Here is an 11,583-nt window from a genome sequence, read left to right as displayed (position 1 = left end):
TATGGTTTTATTTGACCCCCAATTCCATGCTCTTTCCACTGATCCTCTGTAACCAGCCTGGGTAGAAAACATGTGTCAGTGTCTGCTGGGAAACAGATGACACAGGCAAACTGGGAAAGCTGAGGAGAGCTTGAGAGAAGTTAAGTTTTAGTGCTCTGCAAGGCTACCGGCAGGTGCTGGAAACAGTTCTCCAGGCTAGTGACACTGTCGCCACCCCTGGGCCTGAAGGGTCAGGAAGGGAGCTGTTATAAAACATAAAGACAGGTTGGGTGCGGTGGCTCATGCCTGTAATCCCAGCACTTTGGGAGGCCGAGGCGGGTGGATGACCTGAGGTTAGGAGTTCCAGACCAGCCTGGTCAACATGGTGAAACCCTGTCTCTACTAAAAATACAAAAAATCAGGCATGGTGGCAGGCATCTGTAATCCCAGCTACTTGGGAGGCTGAGGCAGGAGAATCGCTTGAACTGGGAGGTTGCAGTGAGCTGAGACCACGCCACTGCACTCCAGCCTGGGCAACAAGAGCGAAACTCTGTCTCAAAAACAAAAAACAAAGACAGAGCTGTGTGGACAGGCCCAACTGATAGGGGCTGTGACCACTGGTTGAGGGATAAGCCAGTCTGGGGTGAGCCTTGAGGGAGGGAGAAGGAGACAAACCCTCCACCTCTGCTGCCATCTCCTCCTGGAGAGCTCCACTGCCAAACTCAGCTGCAGCTGGAGGACCAAGAGCCCACTGAGGTGTCCATAGGACCAGCTCCAAGCAGGGTGGAGAAGACGGAGGGGGATGTGGAGAGCAAACGGAAACCAGCCAAATGAAACCAAAGAAGTGCGGGTCTGGCCGGGCGTGGTGGCTCACACCTGTAATCCCAGCACTTTGGGAGGCTGAGGCAGGTGGATCATGAGGTCAGGAGTTCAAGACTAGCCTGGCCAAGATGGTGAAACCCCATCTCTACTAAAAATACAAAAATTAGCTGGGCATGGTGGTGGGCACCTGTAATCCCAGCTACTCAGGAGGCTGAGGCAGAGAATCGCTTGAACCCAGGAGGCAGAGGTTGCAGTGAGCCGAGATCATGCCACTGCATTCCAGCCTGGGCAACAGAGCAAGACTCTGCTCAAAAAAAAAAAAAAAAAAAAAGAAGTGCAGGTCTGGGATGGGGGTCGTGGGGTATTGACACCTCAGGGTGGGGGCTGGTGCCACCACCTTTCATCTTGTAGCCAAGGTGGCTCCTCAAGGCCTTCCTGCTCTCGGGCTCCATTCCCTCAACCCATTCACCGCTCAGAGCCAGGGTGATTCTCCTAAAATACCACCCAGATCATGTCCCATGTCCCAGCCCTGCTCAAAATCACTCAATGGCTTCCTTTGTAAACCAAAAATAAAATTCAATGCCCCCTCACCTCAGCCATCTGAATGGACTCCCTCCTCTGCCAGGGCATTCCAAAGTTAACCTGAAAGACTGGTTCAGGGCTGGGCTGGTGGCTCACACCTGTAATCCCAAGGATTACACTTTTGGGAGGCCAAGGTGGGCAGATCACTGAGGCCAGGAGTTCAAGACCATCCTGGCCAACATGGTGAAAACCTGTCTCTACTAAAAATACAAACAAATTAGCTGGGCATGGTGGTGGGCACCTGTAATCCCAGCTACTTGGGAGGCTGAGGCAGAAGAATCACTTGAACCTGGCAGGCAGAAGTTGCAGTGAGCTAAGATGGCACAACTGCACTCCAGCCTGGGGAACAGAGTGAGACTCCATAAAACAAACAAACAAACAAACGAACAAACAGAAAAAAAACCTCCAGGCCTTTAGGTAACTCTTTTAATCAATTGCCAATCAGAAAATTTTTAAATCTACCTATAACCTGGAAGCTCCCTTCAACACACACATACATTCTGCGCCCCTGTCCCCCCGCCCTGACTACCTTGGGCCACGTGTTCTCAGGGTCTCCTGAGGGCTGTGTCAAGGGCCATAGTCGCTCATATTTGGTTCAGAATAAATTTCTTCAAATATTTTACAGAGTTTGAATGTTTTCATTGATATCTTTAGGCTGAAATTTGAAGTCCTTAAAGAGGCCCTGAGACTCTGTAGACCTGGCCCCTGCCACCTCCCCAGTCTCCTCTTGGGCCATGCCCCAGTGCCCACCACTCTCCAGCCACACCACTCTCCTGGAAGTTTCTGGAACATGCCAAGCTCTTTCAGCTTCAGGGGTGTCTCCACACCTTCACATAGCTTGATCCTTCTGCTTAGAAGGGTCACAGCACCATTGTCCACCACCCCCCACGGCCCATCCCCTCTGTAGCTACTCTTTCATGCCACCTTCTGCCAACATAAGAGGTGCCTGGGTGCCACTCTTTTGTTTTTGTTTTTTGAGATGCAGTCTCACTCTGTTGCTCAGGCTGGAGTGCAGTGGCGCTATCTCAGCTCACTGCAACCTCTGCCTCCTGGGTTCAAGTGATTCTCCTGCCTCAGCCTCCCGAGTAGCTGGGACTACATGTGCGCACCACCATGCCTGGCTAATTTTTTGTATTTTTAGTAGAGACAGGTTTCACCGTGTTAGCCAGGATGGTCTCGATCTCCTGACCTGGTGATCTGCCTGCCTCGGCCTCCCAAAGTGCTGGGATTACAGGCGTGAGCCACAGCTCCCTGCCTTGGGTGCCACTCTTTTAGGGCACTGAGTCAGCTTTCCTTAAGTGCATGTATTACAGTTTGTAAAGATACCTTTGCTTATGAGATGAGTTGCTAATATCTGTCCTGCCTTCCCTACTGGACTGTAAACTCCAAGAAAGCGGGGGCTGTATTTTATTTACTTCTGTATCCCCACAGGTCTGGCACACAGTTGGCCCCTCATAAATGCTTGTTAAATAAATCTTAATGGTATTGGGGTTGAGTCCTGGCCCCTTTCTTTTCTCCCGTTTTTGTTTGTTTGTTTGAGACAGATGGTAGCTCAGGCTGTTGCCCAGGCTGGAGTGGCATAATCACAGCTCACTGCAGCCCTGACCCTCCTGGGGTCAAGCCAACCTCCCACCTCATCCTTCCAAGTAGCTGGGACTACAGGCACGCACAACCATGCCCAGCTAATGTTTTAATTTTTTTAAAGAGATGGGTCTCACTATGTTGCACAGGCTGGTTTCGAACTCCTGGGCTCAAGCCATGCTTCTGCCTGGGCCTGGCTAAAATGCAGAATTACAGGTGTGAGCCATTGCGTCGGCCAAGGCTCCCTTTTTCTAGCCAAACAGTGCTAGTCAGACTCTGCCCCCTAGTGGTCATGTCTGGGAACTGATTGTGGCTTGTTCCAACCGCTTCCTAGATGTCAGTTTTTGACTTGTTAAAAGTAAATGGAACGCAGCAGAAAGTACTGAGTGCAGGCCCTGGGCTAGGCATCTGGCCAAGATGAATTACGATCTAGACCCTGACCCCCAGAATTCCCCCTTAAGTCAATGACCAGCGCTATAGATCTGTGCTGTTTCATATGGTAGCCACTAGCCACTTGCCACTGAGCACATAAAATGTGGTTAGTGCAACTATAAAACTGAATTTTTAATTTTATGTAATTTTAATTCATTTAAACTTAAATCTAAACATTGGCTGCTCTGTCTATGGAGTAGCCATTCTTTATTCCTCTACTTTCTTAATAAACTTGCTTTCATTTTACTCTAAAAATAAAACAATAATAAAATAAACCTTGATGCTTATTTCAGTTATTGGAAAACACTCAAGTATGTACATTTTACAAACACTTTTCAGATTTGATCTAAATACAGATCCTATATTTCTGATGAAAAAGTAACATCCTAATTGAGATATGCTGTGTCAAATACATACCAGATTTTGAAGACTTAGTATTTAAAAATCCCATTAAAAATTCACCTATGGCCAGGCGTGGTGGTGCATGCCTGTAATCCCAGCACTTTGGGAGGCAGAGGTGGGTGGATCACTTGAGGTCAGGAGTTCGAGACCAGCCTGACCAACATGGTGAAAACACATCTCTACTAAAAATACAAAATTGGCTGGGCGTGGTGGGGCATGCCTGTAATCCCAGCTACCTGGGAGGCTGAGGCAGGAGAATCTCTTGAACCCAGGAGACGGAGGTTGCAGTGAGCTGAGATCGCACCACTGCACTCCAGCCTGGGCAACAGAGCGAGACTCCATCTCAAAAAAAAAAAAGAAAAGAAAAGAAAAGAAAAAAATGTAGACTCTCAACCTACTGAAGCAGAATCTGCATTTTAACATGAACCCCAAGCGATCTATTTGCACATTAAAGTTTGAGAAGCAGTCACCTATTAGACATCCAAGTGGTGATATAGGCAGCAATTCTCTGATTGCTTGCTCAGAGACATAGGAAGCAAAGTCGAGGCTGAGAGTGAGGCTGCAGAGGAGGTGTGGGAGTTCAGAAGGGACTGTAGAAAGTGTGGAGTAATTGCCTAGGATGGGTGTGTTAGTATGAATGGACAAGTTAGTGTGCATGAACTTAAAGCGAGATCAGTCAGGACCGTTGCATGTTTTTACCCTCACTTTTGGCTATGTGGGTGCAGAGTTGAGATTTTGCTGCTGAGAACCATAAGGTAGAGTTGAGGCTGCATGCAAAGGAGTAATTATAATATTGGAATCCAAGCTGGTCAAGGAGGAAAGTGAGGATGTGAGAGATAAGAAAGAGGTGGTGGTCAGGCGCGGTGGCTCACTCCAGTAATCCCAGCACATTGGGAGGCTGAGGCAGGTGGATCACTTGAGCCCAGGAGTTTGAGACCAGCCTAGGCAACATATGGAGACCCCATCTTTACAAAAAATTACAAAAATTAGCCGGGCGCGGTGGCTCACGCCTGTAATCCCAGCACTTTGGGAGGCTGAGGCGGGCGGATCACCTGAGGTCAGGAGTTCGAGACCAGCCTGACCAACATGGAGAAACCCCATCTCTACTAAAAATACAAAATTAGCCTGGCGTGGTGGTACGTGCCTGTAATCCCAGCTACTTGGGAGGCTGAGGCAGGAGAATCACTTGAAACTGGGAGGTGGAGGTTGTAGTGAGCTGAGATCATGGCACCATTGCACTCCAGACTGGGCAACAAGAGCAAAACTCTGTCTCAAAAAAAAAAAAAAATTACAAAAATTAGCCAGGTGCAGTGGTGTGTGCCTGTGGTCCCAGCTACTTGGGAGGCTGAGGTGGGAGGATGGCTTGAGCCCAGGGGGCTGAGGCTGCAGAGAGCCATGACTGCTTCGCTGCACTCCAGCCTGGGTGAGAGCGAAACCCTGTCTCAAAAATAAATGAATAAACAAATAGGTCGGGTGCGGTGGCTCACGCCTGTAATCCCAGCACTCTGGGAGGCTGAGGCAGGTGGATCACCTGAGGTCAGGAGTTCGAGACCAGCCTGGCCAACGTGGTGAAACCTCATCTCTACTAAAAATACAAAAATTAGCTGGGCCTGGTGGCGGGTGCCTGTAATCCTAGCTACTCAGGAGACTGAGGCAGGAGAATCGTTTAAACCTCGGACGCGGAGGTTGCAGTGAGCCAAGATCGCGCCATTGCACTGCCATTGCACTCTAGGCTGGGTGACAAAAGCGAAACTCAGTCTCAAAATAAATAAATAAAATAAAATAAAATAAATAAATAAAATAAAGGAACAGGTGGTAAGATGAATAGATTGTTGATCCTGATATGGTCACAGAATTGTCAAATCACGGTCACAGAGCTGGAAAAATAGATGGTGGTCAGAGTGTGGGGTGCCTGAAATTGAGATTATGGAGGGGGTGCAGTTATTGGTAAGGAGAGGTTCTCAGGCAGCTAATATCGTGGGTTGGGAATAAGAGGAAATCGCTGTTGGCTTTTCTTGGGGAGTAGAGTTGTTTAGACAAAAGCAAGTATCTATGAGGAGGAGCTTCCTAGGTGGGGGGCAAGAGAGTGGGAGAATGAAGCCCAAGATGGACGAGGAGAGGGGCTTGAAAGCTGAGAATCCCCCGGTATTCTGGCTGGCAGAGGTGGCAGAGGTCCATGGCGAGAGGGCAGGGTGTAAGGGCACAGCTGGAGCCTGGCCCTGCTGAGCTCCCAGCTCGGGCAAGTTCATCCCTCCAGGCCCTGCTTAGTGTGAAAGGAGGTTGTGTTCATCACTGGGAGAATCACTGGGCTTCTATCTCACAAACAACAATAACAATGAACATTTTAACTCTGCCCCAAGCATTTGACAACTGCTATTTTTCATTCTTACAACTACCCTATATTATTACCACCCTTTTTATAGATAAGGTGCCAAGGCTCACAGCAGTTAAGTAATATGCCTAAGGTCACAAAGCCACCAAAGACATTTGAACTTGGATTCAAACCCAGGACTGTCTATCACCAAAGCTTGCTGGTGTGGCTGGCGATTCACCTGGGGAGCGTTTGTTTATGCTTCCACTGAAGATTCTGATTCACAGGTCTGGAAAGAAGTATCCCCAAGGGAACGTGCATGTTTTCACAAGCAGCTCAGGTGACTCTGAGGGTCAGGGAAGAATGGAAAGCATTTCGCTGGCCCTGCCTGCAGCATGGTGGATGCCAGGCTGGTTCCGTGGCCTGGCTTCCTCATGGTGCCACCCACTTCCAGTTACAGCAGTTTCAGTCACCATCAACATCCGCCATGTGCCTTTCTCACTGCCTTTCACCTAGATGACCTCAACTGAGGAAGGCGCCAGAAGTCACAGGAGGTAGAGAAATGCAGTATGATTTCTCTCTCTCTTTTTTTTTTTTTTTGAGATGGAGTCTCCCTCTGTTGCCCAGGCTGGAGTGCAGTGGCGTGATCTCGGCTCACTGCAAGCTCCGCCTCCCGGGTTCATGCCATTCTCCTGCCTCAGCCTCCTGAGTAGCTGGGACCACAGGCGCCTGCCATCACGTCCAGCTAATTTTTCTATTTTTAGTAGAGACGGGGTTTCACTATGTTAGCCAGGATGGTCTCGATCTCCTGACCTTGTGATCTGCCCGCCTCGGCCTCTCAAAGTGCTGGGATTACAAGCGTGAGCCACTGTGATTTCTTTTCTTCTCTCTTTTTTTTTTTTTTTTTTTTTTTGAGACGGAGTCTTTTTCTGTTGCCCAGGCTGGAGAGCAGTGGCATGATCTCGGCTCACTGCAACCTCTGTCTCCCAGGTTCAAGCGATTCTCCTGCCTCAGCCTCCGGTGTAGCTGGGACTACAGGCATGCGCCACCACACTTGGCTAATTGTTTGTATTTTTAGTAGAGATGGGGTTTCACTATATGTTAGCCAGGCCGGTCTCTAACTCCTGACCTCAGGTGATCCACCCCCTGACCTCCCACAGTGCTGGGATTACAGGCATGAACCACTGTGACCAGCCACAGTGTGATTTCTAAGTAGAGAGATGGGCCCCCGGCCTCACAGTCCTTTAGTGCCAAAGCTGGAACAAAACTTCACTTCTGAGACATCCAAATCCACCATTCTTTCCACTCTCTATTTCCTTAGGAAAGTGTTAAATAATGTTTATGAATAATAAGGCCAATTTTAAGGGGGAGGAGCCCCCATACCCCACCCCTACCTTATCTATCCCCCACACATCTATCATTCAAGCCTGAGAGGCTCCCTCCATCCCACTTTGGAACATTGGCATTCAATTCAACAGATGCTGGGTCAGGGCCGTGCCCAGGCCTAGGGGTGAATGAGACATTGTCTCTGCCCTCCAGTGGGGAGAAACAGGCACTTTCACCTCAGGCTGGGTTCAATGCCTCAATTCAGTAAATACGTCCTCTGAAAACAAGCAACTTCGGGCGGCGCGGTAGCTCTTGCCTGTAATCCCAGCACTTTGGGAGGCCAAGGCAGGTGGATGACCTGAGGCCAGGAGTTCAAGACCAGCCTGGCCAACGTGGCAAAACCCTGTTTCTACTAAAAATACAAAAATTAGCTGGGCATTGTGGTGGGCGCCTGTAATCTCAGCTACTCAGGAGGCCAAGCAGGAGAATCGCTTGAACCCAGGAGGCGGAGGTTGCAGGGAGCCGAGATCATGCTACTGCACCCCAGCCGTGGTGACAGAGTGAGACTCCATCTCAAAAAGAAAGAAAGAAAGAAAGAAAAAGAAAAACAGAAAAAAGGCAACTTCTTTCAGAAAGTTAGTGATCAATGCATGGGTAGAGTAACACATTAAATGCTAGGTAACCAGGCAGCTATGAGAAGGGTTTGGAGGACCAATTAGTGGAGTCCTGGGGCTGGGCTGGAGGGTGGCAACAGAGAAAGTTCTCTGGATCCACCGCTCCAATTAAGTTTTTCCTGCCCATGTCCTTCAGGTTCCACCTGGGCCCACCCCTTCCAGGCTGCCACCACCCCCTCCCACCAATCACTAAGCTTTAGCTAGTCCTAAAATACCTAAAATAACATCCAGTCCTAAAATAAACATCAGTCTAATCCCTTTCACTCCTCCACCCCTCTTCCTGCAGCCATGGACTTGACTCCACTTTCCTCCTAGGTAGTGTTGCTGGAAAAATACAACCAACCAGTTAAATGTGAATTTCAGATAAGCAATGAGTACTTTTTTTTAGTACAAGTATTTCCAAATATTATATGGGGCAGTGGGATATGCTTATATGAAAAAATATTGTTTGGCCGGGCGCAGCGGCTCATGCCTGTAGTCCCAGCACTTTGGGAGGGTGAGGCGGATGGATTGCTTGAGCTCATGAGTTCAAGACCAGCCTGGGCAACATGGCAAAACCCTGTCTCCACAGAAAATACAAAAATTAGCCGGGCGTGGTGGTGCTCATGTCTGTAGTCCCAGCTACTTGAGAGGCTGAGGTGGGAGGATGGCTTGAGCCTGGGAGGTGGAGGTTGCCGCGAGCCAAGATCGCACTACTGTACTCCAGCCTGGGAGTGCAGAGCCAGACCTTGTCTTGAAAAAAAAAAAAAAAAAGGTTTGTTGTTTATCTGAAGCTCAAACTGGTTGCCTTGCATCTTTATTTGCTAAAGCTGGAACCCTACCCCAGGGGCACCACCAGAGCCTCCCCAACCCTCCCAAACTCCCTCTAGGTGGTTATTTTCTGGCTCCCCATTGCTTTCAGGGTAAAATCTCAATTTCTGGCCCCCTGCCTCCTTGGCCAGCCCTATTTCCTACCCCTTCTACCCCACTGCACCCTCCACCCCCCATCCTAGCTTGCTGGGGCAACTGGCCCTAAGTCCCTTGCCCTCTGCCTGGAGAACCTTCTCCCCTCCTCCGAATAGGCTGGTTCCTAACACCTCCTAACACTCTACTCAGGTGTCACCTCCTCTGAACTCCTTTCCCGAACCCCCACCCCATTCCCCACACTGGGTTAGGAGCTTTCTCTGGGATCTGGAGGAACCAAGTGAATATTTCTTTATCTGCCAGCACTTGTCAAACTGTCAACATTGTAATAATCTGTCATTTTACTGGCTCCCTTAGACTGTGAGTTTCTTGAGAGCAGGGGCTGTGTTCTTTCAGCCTTCTCATTTCTAGAACCGGAAATTCCTGTCTGGTTGGCAGACAATAAAAGCTTACTTAATAATTTTGCAGATAAGGCCCAAGAGAAAAAAACATCATTTATCGAATGCCTATTGCCAGCGAAGCACTGCTGCTCTGGGCCAGGCGCTTCAGGTGTTATTTTTGACCCTATAGTCAGAAAAAGGGCTCTGGAGAAAAAGCACGCAGCAAGGCTTGTGTGGGCTTGCCTCGTGTGCCCCATGTCCCACTCCCCCAGTCGGGCAGATGTGAGTCGCTGGTGATTGCTGGTTGGAAATGGAATCTCCTTGGATATTAACCATCCTGGTGGTTCTAGAAAGTGGAGGGTGTTTTCTGGAGAAGGGGCCTGCTATGGTGGGAATGTTGTTGTCCCCACTCCATTCATTTGTTGAAACTTAATCCTCAATGTTATAGTATTAAAAGGTGAGGCCTTTAGGAAGTGATTAGGTCATGAAGGCGGAACCCTCTGGAATGGAATTCATGCTCTTAGAAAAGAAGCTGGTGGCCAGGTGCAGTGGCTCACGCCTATAATCCCAGCACTTTGGGAGGTGGAGGAGGGCAAATTGCTTGAGCCCAGGAGTTCAAGACCAGCGTGGGCAACATAGTGAGACCCTGTCTCTACAAAAAATACAAAAATTAGCCAGGTGTGGTGGTGCATGTGTGTAGTCCCAGCTACTCAGGAGGCTGAGTTGGAAGGATTGCTTGTACATGGGAGGTCAAGGCTGCAGTGAGCTGCAATTGTGCCATTGCACAGAGTGAGATTCCATCTCAAAAAAAAGGAAGGCTGGTGGGGGGGCGGTGTCTGTTTGTTCCTTCCTTGGCCATATGAGGACTCAGACGATATCTGTGAAGCAGAGGGAGCCTTCATCAGACACCTAACCTGCTGGTGCCTTGATGTTGCGTTTCCCACCCTCCAGAACTGTGAGCAATACATTTCTGCTGTTTCTAAATTACCCACTCTAAGGTATTTTTGTTGTAGCAGCCCAGATGGACTAAGACAGCACAAGTGTAGAGAGCATGAAAAAATGTCAGGGATCTGGACAGATTCCATGGGCCATGCATTTCACCTAGGGCGCTACTCCTTGAGCAAGGGGGAGACAGACACTGAGCAGAACTGTACTTGCTCTGGTGAGATCACACCTTGGGTGGGGACTTCCTAAAATGAGGTTCTTGGCCTGTAGGAACTGGAAGTACACTGAAGGGTTGGGGTGTCTGGGGAGCTAGCCCACCATAACGGCCACTAGTCCCCCTAAGTAACTCCTACTTAAACTATATTTACAGAAATAAACATACATAGTGTGTGTATGGGGGGCAGTTTTTAAAAATCTGTCTTTTTTTTTTTTTTTTTTTTTTAAATCTCTGTTTTGGGGCTGGACGTGGTGGCTCATGTCTGTAATCCTAGCACTTTGGGAGGCCAAAGTGGGCTGACTGCTTTGAGCTCAGGGGTTTGAGACCAGCCTATGCAACAACGTGAAAACCCATCTCTACAAAACAAACAAACCAAACAAAACAAACAAGCAAACAAACAAAATTAGCTGGGTGTAGTGGCACACACTTGTAATCCCAGCTACTCAGGAGGCTGAGGCCGGAGAATCACTTGAAACCAGGAGGAGGATGCAGTGAGCCGAGATGGCGCCACTGCACTCCAGCCTGGGTGACAGAGCGAGACCCTGTCTGGAAAAAAAAAAAAAAAAAAAAAAGGACATTCAGTGGTGGTGTGGTGCTGACCTATAGCTATTAACATGAGATAAGCACTTTAAACAGAGTTGGTCAACTACTGGCAGCCTTGGTGTCATGGAAAGAACTTGGACTTTGGAACCACAGAAACTCAGGCAAGGCTCGGTAATGTTTCTCTTTTTAAATTGAGACAAGGTCTCTCTATGTTGCCTAGGCTGGGTCTCCAACTCCTGGGCTCAAGCCATCCTCTGGCCTTGGCCTCCCAAAAGTGCTAGGATCGCAGGTGTGAGTCACCATGCCCAGGCTCCAGTAATATTTCAGAACTTCCTCAAAACTGTTTCCTCCTTTGCTACTGCATTCTTCACTGAGATGAGGGTTAAGACCTACCTAACAGTAGTAATCTACATCTCAATGTAGGACTTCTGAATTCTGACTTGAGGAAAGCACCTGCTTTCCTGGTTGAGTAATTATAAACAGAGA

General features: G+C 48.8%; 1 protein-coding gene across 2 annotated transcripts in view, besides 1 other annotated feature; it reads right to left on the bottom strand.

Annotated features, from left to right (window-relative positions):
• The window catches only part of PNKD (PNKD metallo-beta-lactamase domain containing), a 76,275-nt gene that overhangs the window by 42,087 nt on the left and 22,605 nt on the right, over nucleotides 1-11,583 (bottom strand). The window lies entirely within an intron of this gene.
• Nucleotides 10,680-11,526: an enhancer, noted in NCBI's record as "H3K27ac hESC enhancer chr2:219157904-219158750 (GRCh37/hg19 assembly coordinates)". NCBI's record gives its function as "activates a minimal SCP1, AML or CMV promoter by ChIP-STARR-seq in naive H9 embryonic stem cells {active_cell/tissue: H9 hESC(naive)}" and the evidence as "EXISTENCE:reporter gene assay evidence [ECO:0000049][PMID:30033119]".

This window comes from Homo sapiens, chromosome 2 (genome assembly GCF_000001405.40).
Source record: "Homo sapiens chromosome 2, GRCh38.p14 Primary Assembly".
NCBI classification, from domain to species: Eukaryota; Metazoa; Chordata; class Mammalia; order Primates; family Hominidae; genus Homo; species Homo sapiens.
Note: the sequence above shows the minus strand (reverse complement) of the source record. Positions and strands in the feature narration are given on the sequence as shown.